The sequence below is a fragment of the Homo sapiens genome, chromosome 15 (assembly GCF_000001405.40).
Source record: "Homo sapiens chromosome 15, GRCh38.p14 Primary Assembly".
NCBI classification, from domain to species: Eukaryota; Metazoa; Chordata; class Mammalia; order Primates; family Hominidae; genus Homo; species Homo sapiens.
The window spans coordinates 68,710,098-68,728,554 of record NC_000015.10 but is presented as its reverse complement, the minus strand read 5'-3'; the positions used below and the strand labels follow the sequence as shown (position 1 = coordinate 68,728,554).

Sequence of the window (18,457 nt, the reverse complement as noted above, 5' to 3'; positions counted from 1 at the left end):
AAGACAACCTTGGACTACTGAGAGACTGAGGATATCTAGCATCCCTGGTCTCAGAATGGGCCCCGGCCACGCTCCCAGAACAGACTCTGCCCAGCTCTGAGTCTGGCTGGGGACTGGGAACACAGACCTTCTCTGGCTCTGGCTCATAAGACCCAGTCCCTGTGTATTTCCCCCACTACACTGGCTGAGTGACCTTGAACATGTCACCACTCTGGGCCTGACTGCTTTTCTTGAAAACAGGAATAATCGGACCTACCAATTAGAGCTGCTATGAAGATCAAATGAGTCAAGTGTGTGGAATCCTGCCTGATAAACTTCAAGGCACCGTTCCAATGTAGAGCGTTGGTCTCACCCAGACCCCAACACGGGGCAGCATCTATTGAATAGCGGTAGAACAGTGGTTCTTAACCGGGAGGTGATTCTGACACCCCAGGGGACATTGGGCAATATCTGGGGACATTTTTGGTTGTCCCAATTGGATGAGGGTTGCTATGGCATCTGATTGGTGGAGCCAGGGATACTGCTAAATATCTTACAATGTACAGGGCAGCCCCCACAGCAAAGAATTATTCGCCCCAAATGTCAATAGTGCTGAGATAAATGAAGGTGTGAAATTATATCTGTAGGTACAGACGTGGGTTGTCATTCCAGAAAGGCAAAGGAGCTGTGGGTGGGGAGCTGACCATCAAGGTACCATGGTGACCAAGAACAGGAACCACTGGGGTTAAATGAGATGGCTATGCCCAGGTTTGATAAGTTGAAAACATTTTATTTCAATTCTATCCTTGGGAGGCAGCATAAATAATCACAGAAGACCACAAAGGTCAATGGGGAAGGAAAAAAAAAAGCTCCAGAAATGTGGGAGGAGGAGATGAGTGCTGACACTGTCTAGCTGTGGGGTACGGGGTGAGGAGGCCCTACTGTAGCTGGCTGGGAGGATGGAGGTTCATAAAGGAAAGGCCCAGCTCACCTGGAGGGGCTTGGGTAGCCCTGGCCTCTGTGGATGGGATTTTCCGTAGGGCGGCCATGGGAAAAGCAGGTATGGAGTATAATGCATCTAGTAGATCCTAGCTAATGAAAGAAAAGAGTGGACACCCATTTCTTGATTTCCAGATCTCACCCCAAACTGTGACTCTTCTGAGAACAGTGTTTATAAACTCTTTGTGCGTAGTGGGAAATGAAAGGAGGAAAAAAGAAGGAATAAAAGAAAATGTGTACAAGATCAAATGAAATGTGGCATCTCAGAGTTGCGTGACCTTGGGCCACTTCTCTCGGTTTCCTCATCTGCAGAAGGGAGTAGACGTGAGGCTCCATGAGATCCTATGTGTCAAAGGACTGCAGAAACTTTAAAGTGCTATACGGATGCGAGTGGCTGTGGTCATTCTACGTGCATAAGGCTGAAAGTGGCTGAGATAGCGGTGCTGAGACACACGCAGAGCATCCCTAGAAGCCATCAGACCCTGGTCTGCCTTCCCCAGGGCCAAGCTCCACCCTTCTCAGCCTCAGCTTCCAGGAGGACGAGGCCTCATCTCAGATGGAGTCCCCTGGGGAGGGTGGTGGTGACAGCTGAGGGTGGGGACCTGAAGGATCTAGGGGCACAGAGCGTGAGGGGCCTCAACTGGGCAGTGTGGCACATCGGCACTACTGGTGCTGGGTAGACGGTAGCAGTGGCTTCCAGTTCTCATTCTCCATAGAGACTTGGGCACTGGTGAAGCCCACAAAGGGATTGGCATCTTGATGCAGCGGGAAAGGCCCTGGCCTTGGGGTCTGAACACCCAGGGTCTTGGTCGTGGGCCCATTGTTGACCTGCTGGGTGACTTTATAAGTCATTTCCCCATTGCAACCCTCAGTTCTGTCATTTGTCAAAGGGGGACACTAATCCCTACCCTGCCTGGCTCACAAATTGAATGGGAAAAGGGTGTGCAAGAGCTTTGTAGAGAATCATGGGGAAGGCAAGGGGTCATTATGGCCTTGGAGAGCAATCCTCTGAATTCCCTGAAGACAAGAGGGTGGGAAGGGAAGAGACAGAAAGGAGCCGGGCCGCTCGCTGTCCTCGTCGGGTGAGGCAGGCTTCCGGGGCTGCTGAGGGAAGAGGGGGTGGGACGAAAGAGGGATCACTGCAGCCTGCAGTCCAGCACTTACACTGTGGTACCTTCAGTGATGCTGAGAGCTCCAGGCGGGAGTGCTGAGATGTCCTGGCAGCCCCCTTCACAGGGGAAAAGTCCAAGTTCTAAGTCTAGCTGGGATCCCGCTTCCCCTCTTGCTTCCTGGTCCACTGAGATGGAGCCCCTGCCAACCCCAGGGAGTCTGTAGTCTTCACCCAGCTGAGGGGAAGCCTGGCTCCTGGGGTGGCAGGGAAAGGGGCTGCCGGCAGGGGGTCTCCAGAAGCTGGGGACTTTTATTAGCATGAGGTCAGGAGGTTAGAGGTTGGCTTCCAGTTCTCGAGGTGGTAGGCGGGGGTCCTCAGGCTGGCCCCCACTCCTGTCCTGGCTCTGTCTCTGGGGTCACTGGTAAGGGAGAAGTTAAGGGATGAGTAGAAACGACGGAGAGATCGGCTTAGAAAACAGCCCAGCTGGGGAGCTAACAGTTCTTGGGGCTGTTGCGCAAGTTTTTCAGTTCCAGCTGGAGCTGCCGAATGCGGATGTCCTTCTGGGCCAGCTCCTCTTTCAACCGTCGAATCTCATCCTGCTGCCGGAAGAACATTCGAAGGAGCTGGGGTGGAGGAAGAGAGGGGGCCAAGGAGGGCCCAGGAGAGAGCAGGTGAGACAAGGATTTCCCAGGTGAGTCTCCAGCTGCCTGCCGCCCGTGCCCTCACATTCCCCCAGGCCTCCCACTGCTTGATACATTTATTCTCCCCAGGTGCATTTATTGCACCTCTCCCATCTCTAGCTCAGCCCATGGCTCTTACTTTCCCTTGTGAGGTAGGAAACAAAACCTGCGTCATTAATTGATTCAGGATCACTGAAAAAGGAGTGACCAAACAGTCCAGTTTTCCAAATATCCCAAGCTTGTCCCTTTTTGGGTCCTAACTTAATGCTTTTCTTTACCATTGTATTAATAGATGTATTATTACATCTATAATAATACATAATAATAGATGTATAATAATACATAATAGATGTATTATTACATGTATTACATATATTATTACATTATTATTGCTAATTTATGTATTTATTTATTTTTGAGACAAAGTCTCGCTTTGTCGCCCAGGCTGTAGTGCGGTGGCATGATTTCGGCTCACTGCAACCTCTGTCTCCTGGGTTCAAACAATTCTCCTGCCTCAGCCTCCCGAGTAGCTGGGATTACAGGCATGTGCCACCATGCCTGGATAATTTTTGTATTTTTAGTAGAGACTGGGTTTCACCATGTTGGCCAGGCTGGTCTCGAACTCCTGACCTCAAGAGATCCACCCACCTCAGCCTCCCAAAGTGCTGGGATTACAGGTGTAAGCTACCATGCCCGGCTTGTGCTGATAATTTAGAACTTTCTAAAATGCTTTGTATCCTTCTCTTCTTAAGGAGGCTCAGGATACAGAATGGAATCTAGCTTTTTCCCTACTGATGAGGAACTATGACAAGAATACCAAAGTTTGCACTGGTCAGGGATTCATGTACAGCTATCCTGGCAGATCTTCACCCCAATGACTCTCTAGCTTAACCCGCCTCCATTTCTCCTGTAAAGCATATTGACAGATGTCCACAAAACGCCGAGCCCTGGAAGGCAGCAGGCTCCTTGAGGCTCCTGCACACCTGAGTTGAATGTTACCCACAGTCAATTGTGTTTGGTCTCAAACTTTCTGGTGTGAATTACATTTGTTATTGTAATTGCATAATTTAATGAAATATAATATAAATTGATGAAATGAGCACAAAAAGAGAGTTGTTGTTTCTATAAAAACTTAATTAAATGCTTTAGAAAATCTTGATAAAGATGATGCTAAAAAAACTGTGGCCGAATTGGGTGTGGAAGATCTAGCCCTAAAAGACTGGAGAATATTCTATATCTTGGCTGATGGTGGCTGCATGACTGTGTGTGTTTGTCAAAACTCTTAAACCGACACACTACAGAGGATGAATTTTACCATAGGCAAATTATACCTCAATGTCTCAAAAAAAGATGAGAGAAAACATTGTAAAAACTAGGACTTTGCTTTCAGATGAACTTTAAATTATTTTTCTACCTAAAAGAAATGGAAACTGGAAATGGGAGTTAAGGTGTGATTTGTGTGAAAGACATGGCAGATTCCAACCAGGGAGGGCCTCCTTGAAGAAAAGGTCCTGGTCCTGCATCAAAATATGCTAAATGAATGTATATGTTTTATTTTTATTATTTATTTATTTGTTTGTTTTTGAGACAGAGTCTTGCTCTGTCACCCAGACTGGAGTGCAGTGGCGCGATCTTGGCTCACTGCAACCTCCGCTTCCCGGGTTCAAGGTATTCTTCTGCTTCAGCCTCTGGAGTAGCTGGGATTACAGGTGTGTGCCATCACGCCCGGCTAATTTTTGTATTTTTAGTAGAGACGGGGTTTCACCATGTTGGCCAGGCTGGTCTTGAACTCCTGGCCTCAAGTGATCCACCCTCAGCCTCCCAAGGTGCTGGGATTGCAGGTGTGAGCCACCACCCCGGCCTACTTTTATTTTTTAGGGATAGAGTCTTGCCATGTTGCCCAGGCTGGACTCAAACTCCTGGGCTCAAGCGATCTTCCCACCTGAGCCTCCTGAGTAGCTGGGACTAGAGGGGTGCCACTACACCTCGCATGTTTTATGTTTAAAACAAAAATAAATGGTTTAAAGAAGGTATCGGCCGGGCACGGTGGCTCACGCCTGTAATCCAGTACTTTAGGAGGCCAAGGTGGGTGGATCACGAGGTCAGGAGTTCAAGATCAGTCTGGCCAAGATGGTGAAACCCCATCTCTACTAAAAATATAAAAATTAGCCAGGTGTGGTGGCAGGTGCCTGTAATCCCAGCTACTCGGGAGGCTGAAGCAAAGAATTGCTTGAACCCGGGAGGTGGAGGTTGCAGTGAGCCGAGATCATGCCACTGCACTCCAGCCTGGGAGACAAAGTGAGACTCCATCTCAAAACAAAACAAAACAAAACAACAACAACAAAGAAACCAAATGTATCTATTGGCTGGGCGCCGTGGCTCACACCTGTAAGCCCAACACTTTGGGAGGCTGAGGCAGGTGGATCACCTGAGGTCAGGAGTTCAAGACCAGCCTGGCCAACATGGTGAAACCCTGTCTCTACTAAAAATGCAAAAATTAACCAGGCATGGTGGTGGGTACCTGTAGTCCCAGCTACTTGGGAGGCTAAGGCAGGAGAATTGCTTGAACCCGGGAGGTGGAGGTTGCAGTGAGTCAAGATTGTGCCATTGTACCCCAGCCTGGGTGACAGAGCAAGACTCTGTCTAAAAAAAAAAAAAAAAAAAAAAAAGAATGTATGTATCATTTTTATGATTCTCTCCTTTTGTTTTTGTTTTTTTGAGACGGAGTTTCACTCTTGTTGCCCAGGCTGGAGTGCAATGGTGCAATATCCGCTCACTGCAACCTCTGCCTCCTGGGTTCAAGTGATTCTCCTGCCTCAGCCTCCCGAGTAGCTGGGATTACAGGCGTGCGCCACCACACCTGGCTAATTTTGTATTTTTAGTAGAGACAGGGTTTCACCATGTTGGTCAGGCTGGTCTTGAACTCTTAACCTCAGGCAATCCTCCCGCCTCAGCCTCCCAAAGTGCTGGGATTATAGGCGTGAGCCACCGTGCCCAGCCATGATTGCCTCCTTTAACTAACTTAAAAAAATATAACTTAAAAAAATATTTTTTGTTAACTAACAAACCACCAGTCCCAGTTACATCTGTTGAGAGGGATGACGTGCTATTTGCCTTTGCACTAAATGACTCTACACACTCTTGCGTCTTCCAAGTTCTCAAAATTTCTTTGCATTGTTTTTTGGTCCACTTTTGTCAAAAAAACCGCTTTAGTGAGGTGTAATTCACACACCATAAAAGTCACTCATTTTAAGCTTACAATTCAGCGATTTTTAGTAAAGTTCCTGAGTTGTACAATCGTAGGACTTTTCCCTCGCATCAAGCTGTCAGTTGTTTCCTCACACTTAGATCAATGCGTCCACCTTTGACAGCCCCACTTTCTAACTGGCTGCTTCCGAACTGCTACGATGATTAAAACTGTGGATAAAGGCAGAGTCAGCAGGCTTTGAGAAAGCTTCTTCCCAGCGAGGAAGATGCACAACTTTGGTGTAGATTGTGGCATCTGTTTTGTCTGCTCTGAGACCCTTTAAGCTTTTCCTCCAGGTTCTCAATTCTGATTCCATAGGCAAGTCTACAGCGAAATATTGCTTGATTTAACTACTATTCAACCCTGCCTTCTCCAGACCCAGTGCCAGAACTGAGCTCAGGCCCTTGTTATTGCCCTCCTGGGCTATCACAATGACCCCTGTGTCTCTATCTTCAAAGAGTAGAGTTCTTTTAAAAACAAGAAAATAGCTGGGCGCAGTGTCTCATGACTGTAATCCCAGCACATTGGGAGGCGAAAGTGGGAGGACTGTTTGAGCCCAGGAGTTTAAGACCAGCCTGTGCAATATAGTAAGACCCTGTCTCTACAAAAATGTTTAAAAACAAATTAGTTGGGTATGGTGGTACACGCCGCTAGTTCCAGCTACTCAGAAGTCTAAGGTGGGATTATTGCTTGAGCCTCGGAGATTGAGGTTATAGTGAGCTATGATCGTGCCACAGCACTGCAGTCTGGGAGACAGGGCAGGACTCTGTCTCTAAAACATAAATAAATAAATACAAGAAAACACTTAAAAATTTTTTAAATGAAAAATGTTATATATCTATATTAATAGAAAGTATAGCACCATGAACCCCCAAGTACCCATCACTCAGCTTTAGTCTCTGCCTCCTGGGTTCAAGTGATTCTCCTGCCTCAGCCACTTGAGCAGCTGGGATTACAGGCGCGCACCACCACGCCTGGCTAATTTTTGTATTTTTAGTAGAGACAGGGTTTCACCATGTTGACCAGGCTGGTCTCAAACTCCTGACCTCAGGTGATCCACCCGCCTTGGCCTCTCAACGTGCTGGGATTACAGGCATGAGCTACGGCGCCCAGCCCGTATGACCATTCTTACTTCGCCTCTACTGCCACCCACCTACACTGCACCACTTTCCTCAGGGGTTATTTTAAAGCAAATCCCATTTATCACATCATTTCATCTAGCCCTGAATATCCCTCTACAATGGCATACAAGCATATTTTATGGCAATTATCAAGTTACCTGCCAATCTCCCCCTTAAGACTGTGAGGTCCCAGAGGTCAAGAAGGGTCTTATTTTTATTAATAATAGTGATTAGTGGGCCAGGTGTGGTGGCTCACATCTGTAATCCCAGCACTTTGGGAGGCCGAGGCAGGTGGATCACCTAAGGTCAGGAGTTCAAGACCAGCCTGGCAAACATGGTGAAACCCTGTCTCTACCAAAAATACAAAAATTAGCTGGGTGTGGTGGTGCACACCTGTAATCCCAGCTACTTGGGAGGCTAGGGCAGGACAATCGCTTGAACCTGCATAGGTTGCAGTGAGCTGAGATTGTGCCACTGAGCTCCAGGCTGGGCAACAGAGTGAGACTCTGTCTCAAAACAAAAAATAGTGATAGCATAAGTTGGTGGTATAGACTGTCTAGTTTAAGATGGCTCCCATTTTATCCCCTCTCCTCAAGCATGGGCTGGCCCTAATAGCTTGCTTCAAATGAACAGAATAGGGCAGAAGTGGTGGGATACCATTTCCAAGATTAGGTGACAGAAAGACTGTAGCTTCCATCTTGGGTGCCCTCTCTTGCTCTTCTGCTCACATACCCTGTTGTGAGCTGCCTTATGGAGGAGTCCACGTGGCAGGGACCTGAGGGAAGCTCTGGCCAACAGCCCAAGGAGAAACTGAGGCCCTCACTCCAATAGCCCCTGAGGACATGAGTCCTAGCAGCAACCACATGAGTGAACTTGGAAGTTGAGCCTTCAGATGTGATTCCAGCCCCAGTGGACAGTGTAACTGTACCCTCATGAGAGACCTTCAGCCACGGGCATGCAAAGAAACTGTGAGCTAATAAGCATTTGTGGGTTTAGGCCATTAAGTTCTAGGGTAATTTGTTACACAGCAGTAGGTAGCTAATACAGGTGACCTTTTTCTCTGAGCACTTAATATGAGCCAGGAAGAGTGCTAGACACTTATGAATTATCTCTTTAATGCTCACAGCTTTCCATATCCCTATTTTACCACAAGGAAATGGACTTATAAAGGTCAGTAGACTTGCTCAGTCACAGCCAGGAAATGGCAGAGCCAGGATTCAAATGCAGGTGGGGTCATGCAGCCATCTCCATTTCAGTTGTATCAGGCCTTATGTCTGGCACACAGTAGGCATCCTGTGAATCCCAGCTGAGCTAAACCATGTTGGCATCAGGGAATGGGGGTGTGGGCTGGAACGAAATACCGCTGGGGGACATGGACAAGGCCCAGCCGAGCTGCCCCAAAAGAGCTTGCTCCCATTCCAAGTGGTACAGAGAGCACCTTCATAAACACCCAGTCTCTTCCACAAAGACTGGAAGTGTCAGACTCCAGCACTGCTGCAACGCCAGCGAGGGAGGCAGGGCTGTGATACACGAGGCCGGGCTTGCCCCTGTTAGTCAGGAATTTATAACTCCTGGAACTCCAAATGACAGCAACGTTCTGAAATGAGTTCATGAGGAGATGCATAACTGTGGGTTAGTGAATTTGAGGCGTGGGGGTGGTGTGGGGAACCGATATCTCCAGACATCCCAGCTTCTATTTATTGGGGTCAGAAGCATCAGAAGCCAATATCAGGCTACTTATGGCATTTGTCACAGAAAGAAAAATGTCTCAGAATGGAACTGGCTTAAAGGCCTGAAGCCCATAATTGAAATGTAAAGGTCTTGCTCTTCCAGGGCCTGTGGAGGTAATAACTTACATTCCTTACCTCATTCTCTGTCCTGGGTGGGACATTTTCTAATAAATCTATTCCGTTGACCACAACACTCTTCTTTTCTTTGATGGGAGCCTTAAATACCATTTTTGAGGACTTCTTATAGCCTTCTTTCAAAGACATCAGCACGGGATCTAAAGAAGGCAAGGGAAACGCTCTCACTGACGATCCCATGGACTGTCAGGTGATGGTCCAGCAGGCTGGGTGGGAGGGAAGTTCAAACAGGGGGACAGACAAGGAGAACTGGGGTGAGCTGCGCTGAAGGCAAAGGCTGCAGCCGCCTGTGCTCTGTGGAGCCCCCCGCTGTGGTACCTCGGTTGATGCCTCCCAGCCATTCATCCGGGGTCAGTGCTGGCTCCGTGCCTGGTGTCATTGGGTAAATGTCTTCCTGGTAGGAATCTGACTACAGTGGGAGGAGCAGAAGAGAGGACACATGGGGGGCTGCTGGGAAAGCCCCTACTCTTCAGTCAGACTCTTCTTACTGATCTCCAGTCACTCTACCTGCTCTCCTGCCTCTATGCCTTTGCACTGTGTCTCCCTCCTGGAACTACCTGACTGCACTCATGAGCAAACCCAACTGTCCCCATCTGAGAATGCCCCTCACCCCAAATTAGGTTTGAAGACCCCAGTTCACAGCACATCTCTCACCTGGGTTTCTCCAGGGTCATGGTCAGTGGTGAGCAGGCTAAGAGGCGATGCAGGCCCCCCTCCTGGAGCCCAGCCCAGCCCCACTTACCCTCCGGGGCACGATCATGGAGATGGGCTCGATCAGGCCCTTGAGAGTCACCAGCTTGTAGAAGCGGAACACCTCGCAGGCTGACACATCCAGCCCGTGCTTGGGCATGACCCCTGTAACAGGCACACATGTGGCTCCATGGGGTCCCAGAAACTGCGTCTCAGTGACATCACCCCATGATGTTCTGGGCCAGGGGAAAGGCTGAGGAATGTACTTAGGTTTGGAGGCAACGGCCCATGCAGAGGGCAGGGGGTAGACCGGGGCGCCTTCAATCAGTCTCTGTCTCTGGGTGGTCACTTCTCAAGCTCCTTGGGCCAGACCTGCCTCACCACAGTGCGTGCTTTAGAATTGGACCCTTTAGAATTGGAAGAAACTGCAGAAACATTTGAATCTAGCCCACTCCTTTTCTAGATGAGGGTCCAGAGAGGGTCAGAGGGCAAGGGGTTACCCAAGGTCACAGAGCACAGCAGGGGCAGGGCCACAGAGCCCATTACCCTCTGAAATGAACAGTCATCCCTAAGCCTCCTGTGTCTCCAGTCCTGAGAGAGAAAGGAGGGAGAGGCCATTCCCCATACACCCTAGAGGTCTGGACGCAGCCTAAGATTGCTGTTCTGTTCTATGTCTCCTAGAACCAACAATGTGTGCCCATGTTTCCTGTGTGGGTTCACTTACCACATGTCCCTAACAGCTGCCTCTGCTGAACGTCTATCATGGGGATGAGGGGCAGTGTGGTGGTGCTAGGAGCACAGCTCTATCTAGGGGTGGACCAACGGGGTTTGAGTCCTCACTCTGCCCCCTTTCCATCTAGGAGTCCTTTGGCAAGTTACAACTCTCTGAGCTTCCAGTTCCTTGGCTGGTTCGAGGAGGACAACAATGGCCCTACCTGAGGTGATCAGCAGAATATGTTCCAAGATACTCATTAACTGCCTGGCACCGTGACGAGCACAGACCACATTCATTTCTTTCCCTGTATTGTGAATATGAGTTAAGGCTCTGCCTCTCCTCCTCTGGGCTGGAAGCCTGCTCTTCCACATAAAGGAATTCCAGGAGCTGGAGGTAAGGGGTGAAATGGTTTCCCAAATGGGATTAAGAGCCAGCAGATTCGGTCTGAGTTCTTCTTCTGCTACTTAGCAGATAAGACCTGCCTCAGGTGAGTTGCTTAACTTTTCTGAGTCTACAAGAAGTGCCTACATCACAGCAAATGCTCAATAGTGGTCACAGGTGAGGAGGATGAGGATGAGGATGAAGTGAGTCATTCTGAGCCCTTCCTGCTTCTTTCCTCTCCACCCCTCCATATCCGATACCTTAGCAAGTCCTGCTGACATTACTTTCTAAACATCTGGATTCACACTGTTCTCCCCGTCTTCCTTCTCCCCACCTATTATTCTCTCTTGCCTAAAAGTCTGCAACTTCTTCCTAACTGGTTTCCCTGTCTTCCTCCTGCCCCTCCCAAATCCATTCTCTCTACTGAAGCCAGAGAAATCTTTTTTTTTTTTTTTGACAGAGTCTGGCTCTGTTGCCCAGGTTGGAGTGCAGTGGTGTGATCTTAGCTCACCGCAACCTCTGCCTCCCGGGTTCAAGCGATTCTCCTGCCTTAGCCTCCCAAGTAGCTGGGATTACAGGGGTGTATCACCACACCCAGGTACTTTTTGTATTTTTGGTGACAGGGTTTAGAGACAGGGTTTCACCATATTGGCCAGACTGGTCTCGAACTCCTGACCTCAGGTGATCCACCTGCCTCGGCCTCCCAAACTGCTAGGATTACAGGCTTGAGCCACCACACCTGGCTGCCAGAGCAATCTTAACTAACATTTCGGATCCCATCATGTTGTCTCATGTCCCACTCAAGAAAAAGAACCCTCCCCATAATGATTTCCTTATCAAATGCAAACTCCTTTCCCAGGCTAATGCATCCCATGGATTTAGCCCCTGCCCCCCTCTCCGATGGTCTCCTAACATCCTCCCCCCATCTCCTGCTACATCACAGAGTCTACACCACGCTCAGCCACACTGACCTCCCTTCTGCTCCTAGAACATGCCAGGCTCATTCTGGCCACAGAGGCTTTGCACTAACCATTCCCCCTGCTGGGACTGCTCTTTCTCCTTCCCATCTTTCAGAGCTCAACTTAAAATACCATCATCACAGAGAGGCCTTCCCTGACCACCGGGGTGAAGTAGCCCCCAGTCACTTTCTGTTCTAGCACACCATTTGACTCTCTGCCTAGAACTCATTCCCATCCAATATTTTTCTTATTTGTTTATTGCCTGTCTCCTGCTCAGTGGAATGTGATCTCCATGAGAGTAAGGCCATGTTCTGTTTTATTTGCCACTGGACTTCGCGCAGGGTCTGGTACACAGCTGGAGGTCAATAACTGTTTGTTGAACAACTATGTGAAGGAGCAGGAGGAGTCAAGTGCTCTGCCAGGTGCCTTGCACATGTGGTCTCTAAGCCTTACATTAGCCATTCAAGGAAGGTTTGATTATCCACATTTTACAGATGAGGAAACTGAGACTTAGAGGGATTAAGTGCACAGCTGAGCCAGAATGTAAACCCAGGTCTGACTCCAAAGTCCAGGCTGATTTTTATACTATTTGATGCAGGAGTGACAGTGAAGGAGGTGGGGATGACAGAGTTGGGGAAGAGTAAAGTTGATGGAATGGTGATTAGGACTTCGGACATCTTTTGGTTTCCATTTTGCTGTTGGTCACTGGAGTGGGCTCTCAGGCCCTTTCAGCCCCGATGTTCCTGAAGCTGGCCCTCAGGCCCTGTCCATAATACCAGACCCACAGGGAAAGCAAGCTAGACTCAAGCTCCAAAGAGGATCACCCGCAGAGGTGGGAACGGGAGGTCCCTGAAAATAGGTGTTTCATTGGGTGATTTGGACCCGAAATATAGAATTGCTGAATCATATGCATTACCAGGTTAGTTGAAAGGAAGGAAAATTGGTTGTAAGACTTTTAGTGGTGGGAGAATGTGGGGTCTCACTCACTACACCCTGTCAATCCCAGAGCCCTCTCTGGGTTTCTGCCTGAGAGCCTAGGGAGCTTGGGGCTGCAGTCACGGGAACACCTGGAACTTCTTCCTGCCCTATCAGGCAGACAGAGCTGCTGCTGGGATCTGGGAGTCACGGCTTCCTAGAGGCTCAGGAAGGGACTTGTGCCTAGACCCCACTCTGACCTCTAGTTACGGGACCACTTCCCACCATCATCATAGCCACTGTGGGCTTCAGGCTCCCCATCTGCGATCAGGAGTGCAGACGCAGAGCACATGCTGGCAAGCTGCCGCTGATGGTGGATGTGAGCACAGTGGGGTGACAGCGCCGGTCCAGTGGGCAGTGACAGCTGCAGCAGGGCCAGCTCTTGCAGGTTCTGTTCCAACTTGCCCATGTGCTATGGCCTTCTGAGTCTGATTTTCCACTTAAGGGAGGGGGTGACCCATGGGCCAGATGTCCTCCCGTGCCATGAGCACACCAGCTGTGGCAGCCTCGGGGCCACTTACCTAGGCCTTTCTGCGGGGCTGGGGAGCGGAACTCCATGAGGTAACTCAGGTAGGGCTTCTCAGTGCTGATCTCGTAGTACCGGATGTTTCCATCACCCTGGGGTCAGGAGAGATGGAGTTGAGGAAGGTGGCAGGTAGGGAGGGCAGAGCAGGGCCTGGTCCCAGGAGCCAGCTGAAGACAGCTCTCCCCTGTGCCTCATGGGCAGTTAAAAAAACCAAGGAAACCTGGCTTCTAGGCTCCTAGTGGGTGCACCACAGGGGACTCACTGCGGGTGGAGAGGTGGAGGTGGATGGGCTGATGTGAGTGTGTGTGTGTAGACAGCCTTTCTGACAAACAAGGCTGTATTCACCAAGGATCTCCTGGCGGGTATCTCAAATTCCATCATTCATCACTGACTACACTGCAGGCTCTGATCTTTATTCCAATGTAAAAGCCCGCTCCAGCTCACCTTTGAAGGAATTCTTGGTAGCAGACACTTGAGTAAGAATGGGTGTCAGACTTGAGGGCAGGTGTGGATGGGAAAGGTGAGGCCCAGGAACTTGGAAGGTTAGGCTGGCTACTCTCCAGGGGGTGGGGCAGGTGCAGGGGTGCATTGAGGGTAGGGCTCTCCCACAGGCTGCCCCGGGCCCTCCCCCACCTCCTACTACCTTTCCAGCCAGGTAGAGCATGTGGGTGTCAGCATCATAGAAGGGGAACAGGAGGCCAGAGAGCCCATCAATTTCCTCTTCGATCAGGGGCATGGAGAGGTCCTCCTGAGGGAGAAGAGCTGGTCTCAGCCTCTCTGCAGGCAGGATGGCATACCCCTCCCCAAATCCCAGGAAGGCCTCTTAGGATGGCAACTACTTTATGTTAAGACCTCCCCTAGATGTTAAAAAGCCCGTCCTATGGGTGGTGGCAAGACTGACTTTCTTGTCACGAAAAGCAGCCAGGGGCAGTGGAAAGGGTCTTACAAACAGGAGGCAAGGGACTTGTTCTCATTGTCCCCAAACCTGCTACTTGCTATGTGTCCCCAGGTAAGTCTCTCAATCTCTCTGGAGCTCAGCCCCCACTCTGGAAAAAGAGGGTGAACATCTTGCAGGTGTGGCCGACATTGTTCCTTGAAGCCTCTGTACCCAAGCTCGGCCTCTGGGGGTCTCTGTCTGATTTCTCCACTGGGAATGCTATGAGAAGCTGGTGTGCGGGCCCAGGCTCCTGACTTTCTGAGGAAGTGACCTCCGAGGCAACGATGCTTCCTTTAGCCCAAACCCAGCAGGCCTCCCCGTGGCTGACCTGGTCCCAGAGGGCAATCTGTCTTGTGTTCCACCTGGAGACCCCTGTCGTGAGGAGCCGCTTCATGTTCCCCAGGAACACCACCCGGTTCACTCTGTGGTTTTTGCAGTTGGCCTCCTAGTAGGAACAGAGGGAGGTGGTGAGCCAGGGTCCCCAACATGTGGGTTCTGCAGTGGCATGAATGGTGGTCCCGAAAAGATACACCCATGTCCTCAGCCCTGGCCCCTGCAATTATTTCCTTATTTGGAAAAGGGTCCTTGCAGATGTGGTTAAGCTAAGGATTTGGAGATGAGATTACCCTGGATTATCCAGGTGGATCCTGGATGCCATCATGAGTGTCCTTGTGGGAGAGAGGTAAGATTACAGAGACACACAGGGGAGAAGGTGTGTGACCCTGGAGGCAGAGACTGGAGTGATGTGGCCACCAGCCACGGGAGCCGGCAACCCCCAGAAGAGGCAAGGAATGGGTTTTCTCCTAGAGCATCTGTAGGGAGTACAGTCCTGCTGACACCTTGATGTGGGACATCTGGCCTCTGGAATGGTGAGAGAATACATTTCTGTTGTTTTCAGCCACCTAGTTTGTGGGCATTTGTTACAGCAGCCATAGGACACTGTTCTAAGCACTGTGCAGCAATGGCTCCACAGATGCCTTCTCTGCCATTTCCCAGAGAATGTGGGGAACAGGGAGCGAGAGGGGAGCCAACGTCCACCAAGTCCAGTTGGGGGCTACACCACTTCAGGAGCTCTCACCAGGGGCATTGCTTTTCATCCCCATAACAATATCTATCGGAAGAAATCATTATCCCCATTTTGAGGGTGAGGAAACTGAGGCTCAGGAGGACAAGAGACTCATGCCCATCACTGCTTCACAGCTTGCCTCATCAGGGAGTGCCTCCTTAACTGAGCTGTCTTGGGCCTCCTTTCCTGCCCACTGGCTCGTGACACTTGATTTCCTCCTAACACACAACAGTCCTCGGCATCAGGTAAGTTGGCAGCAAGTCAGAAAAGAGGCCAATGGGGCAGTGCACATATTCAGGCTGGCGTCACACACTCTGAACTCTAGTTCTAGCTCCACCAAAAAAGTGTAGCCCAAGAGAAGACCTTCACCTTCCCTGGGCTCATGGCCCCATTTGGGAATTGGAGGTGGGGGTTCTCTGTTCATAAACATTCTTTCTGCTTGGCATGGGCTCTGGGTTTGAATCCTAGCTCCTCCTGGAACTGTGAGATTCGAGTCTCCCAACTTCGCTAAGGTTAAGTGTTCTCACGTATCACATGAGAGGAGTAACAGCACCCAGCTGAGAGGGTTGTCCTGAGGATTAAATGAGATGATGTGCAGAGCCCCGGGCACAGTGCAGGCCACACAGTGAGCTCTTAGCAGATGTCAGTTAACACTAATCATGCTAAGCAACTCTCATTATTCTTATTTGTAGTGGTACAGGTTGAGTAGCCCTTATCTGAAGTGCTTGGGCCCAGAAGTGTTTCAGATTTTGGATTGTTTCCGATGTCAGAATATTCACATTATACCTACTAGTTGAGCTTCCCACATCCCCAAATCCAAAATCTGAAATGTTCCAATGAGCATTTCCTTTGGGTGTTATGTCAGTGCTCAAAAAGTTTTGGATTTGGAGTCTTTTGGATTTTGGATTTTTGGATTTGGGATGCTCAACCTATAGTACTAGAAAACTTTCTGGTCTTGTAATATTGGACTATTCCAAGGTAAACACACCCAGATCAAGCATTAATCCCTTCTTGTGTAGAAGGCAAACCTCAGATATCATCCATATTTTCCATTCCATCTCTCCCCATGACCAGCACACAGCAGGTGCTCAAAAAATGGTAATTTCTTACTTCCAAATGGCACTTAACCCCTTCCTCAAACCCAAGACCCAGGAGATTCAAAGACCAAAAGTGGAGCTAAGTTCACCATCAGCCTTGGCACCCTAGCCATTTCCCTCAGGCTCATCCTATCAAGTGGCTGGGCAGTGAGTCCAGTGTCTCCTCCTCCTGTGCCTGTGGTGGACCTGGGTAACACCTGGGGATGTATGCACTGAAGGGTGTCACCAGTTCAGCCCCCAGAGCAAGCCAGAAGAATCCTGTCTGGAGGTAGGGGGTGCAGTGGGGACAGGAAAGGGTATGAGGTCCCTCCCCACCCAGAACAAGGCAGGGTTCCTATGAGCTGAGAAGGGCCCAGGAGAGAGAAAGGTTGTTCAACAGAGGTGCAGTGAGATGCACTGGAGAAGGGGGCTGGCACAGCCTTTTTCTTCCAGGCCTGCTGAAAGCTGAGCCCCAGCCCTCAATACCTTCCCCTTCAATCTCAAAAAATGTAGGGTTCCACCTGCAGAACACGGCCAGAGCGGGGCTCAATCACACGCAGCTTCTTGTCCTTGCACGTGGTGGTGAGCAGGCTGCCGTCCGTGTTGAAGGACATGCAGAGGATCACATCCGTGTGGCAGTCAATCATCTTCACCGGCTCACCCACATCCAGGTTCCAGATGAGGACCTGCGAGGGCAGATGCATGGGAGGCAGGGTCAGTGGCTGCTAGGGTCCTGGGGTGTTTGTCCCCAGTGCACACTTGACTGCCCTGGGAGAAGCGCCCCATGCAGGGCCTGGGGTGTGCTGGGGTGCAGGAGGGGGTCATTGAGTTCTATATGGAAAGGCTGATACATCCCTGGCACACAAATCCATCAATATCCTTGGTCAGATCCCAGCACCAGCCTGGGCTCAGTTTATGGAAGAGCAAGAAGGATACATGTTCCTTGTCAGGTCCCATGTGGTCAGCCCACCTTTTTTTGAGGATATGCCTGGGGCTCGGGGCTGAGGCTCCACTTTTTGCCCTCCAGCAGCTTTGGTTACCCCTTTTGCCACCTCTTGGTTAAGAAGTGGCCAGGCAAAGGGTGTGGGCATGGAAGGGGCATTCTCCTCCAATCAACCACCAGAGAAGGCAGAAAAGATGCCTCCGGCCTCTGTGGACCCCAGGAATGACAGGGTGCACAGGAGTTGCTCAGTTGCGTGTAGCGAATGAATGAATGAATGAATAAGCAAATGAACAGATGAGGCCATATTGGTTGCTTAGGAAGCAACAGTGCTTCCTACGGGTACCCAAAAGGCCCCTTTCTCTTCCCCAATCCCTCTCCACCCAGCTGCCTGCCCACTGCATACCTTGTAGTCGTAGCCAGCGCTGAACAGGATGTTGTTGGTGGTGGGGTGCCACTCGACCAGCCCCACACGCCGGCTGTGCCCGTGCAGCTCCAGGAGCGCCTCCGTCATGTTCCGCTTCAGCCCGCCCTCGGGGATCTCCCAGATCCGCACCTGCAGAGGGAGATGAGGGTCCAGGCTGGGTGGACACGGCCAAGAAGTCCCTTGATGAGAGGTGCCCCTTTCCTCGGACACCAGGCTTTCTGAGATCTGCCTGATGAGCCACCTCCTGGCTTGAGGCGATGGGCAAAGCTCGACTGAGGCCTGCTGGGAGGTCTCAGGGTGTGGCTGGAGAGGAAGGAGACCATCTCTCTGCCTGTGGGAGGTTTTCTCTGGGAAGTCTCTGCAGACCTAAGAACTGTTATTACTGGCATGTTGCTACTGCTGTGGCCTAGCCCGGATAAGAAGAACATGCATGAGCCCCTTTTAGCAAATGTTGTGTTAAAAAGCCTATCCTTGCTTCACATGCCACATCCTTCTAGGAGACTCTGCCTTCCTGCTACTCTGCTCAGCCCCACTTTGGCTGTTTGGACTGCAGGGCCTTATCCCCCACTGTGTCCCCCACCCAGGATGGACCCCTGGGCAGGGGGAACTGCATCTGGGAGGCTGAGGGGCCCCAGGTCTCTCCTGAGAGATGGTGGACTTGAAGGCAGAGACTGATCAGATGTTGGGGCCTGAGCTGAAAGGATGGGCAGAGCCTGGATAGAGCTGCTATTTTCAGTCTTGTGGATACTGATAAAGAAGCAGA

At 50.4% G+C, this 18,457-nt stretch overlaps 1 protein-coding gene across 5 annotated transcripts in view; it reads right to left on the bottom strand.

Annotated features, from left to right (window-relative positions):
- Nucleotides 1–748: 748 nt before the first annotated feature.
- CORO2B (coronin 2B) overlaps nucleotides 749–18,457 on the bottom strand; it is a 209,434-nt gene continuing 191,725 nt past the window's right edge. For all 5 annotated transcript variants that reach the window (NM_001324014.1, NM_006091.5, NM_001190456.2 and 2 more), the window contains 9 exons: nucleotides 17,674–17,823; nucleotides 16,849–17,013; nucleotides 14,514–14,630; nucleotides 13,892–13,996; nucleotides 13,244–13,340; nucleotides 9,745–9,857; nucleotides 9,321–9,411; nucleotides 9,003–9,142; nucleotides 749–2,712 (listed from right to left, as the gene is read on the bottom strand). In NM_001324014.1, coding sequence (NP_001310943.1) covers nucleotides 2,581–2,712; nucleotides 9,003–9,142; nucleotides 9,321–9,411; nucleotides 9,745–9,857; nucleotides 13,244–13,340; nucleotides 13,892–13,996; nucleotides 14,514–14,630; nucleotides 16,849–17,013; nucleotides 17,674–17,823 — 1,110 coding nt within the window. In that variant the 3' untranslated portion in view covers nucleotides 749–2,580. The remainder of the gene's footprint in view (nucleotides 2,713–9,002; nucleotides 9,143–9,320; nucleotides 9,412–9,744; nucleotides 9,858–13,243; nucleotides 13,341–13,891; nucleotides 13,997–14,513; nucleotides 14,631–16,848; nucleotides 17,014–17,673; nucleotides 17,824–18,457) is intronic.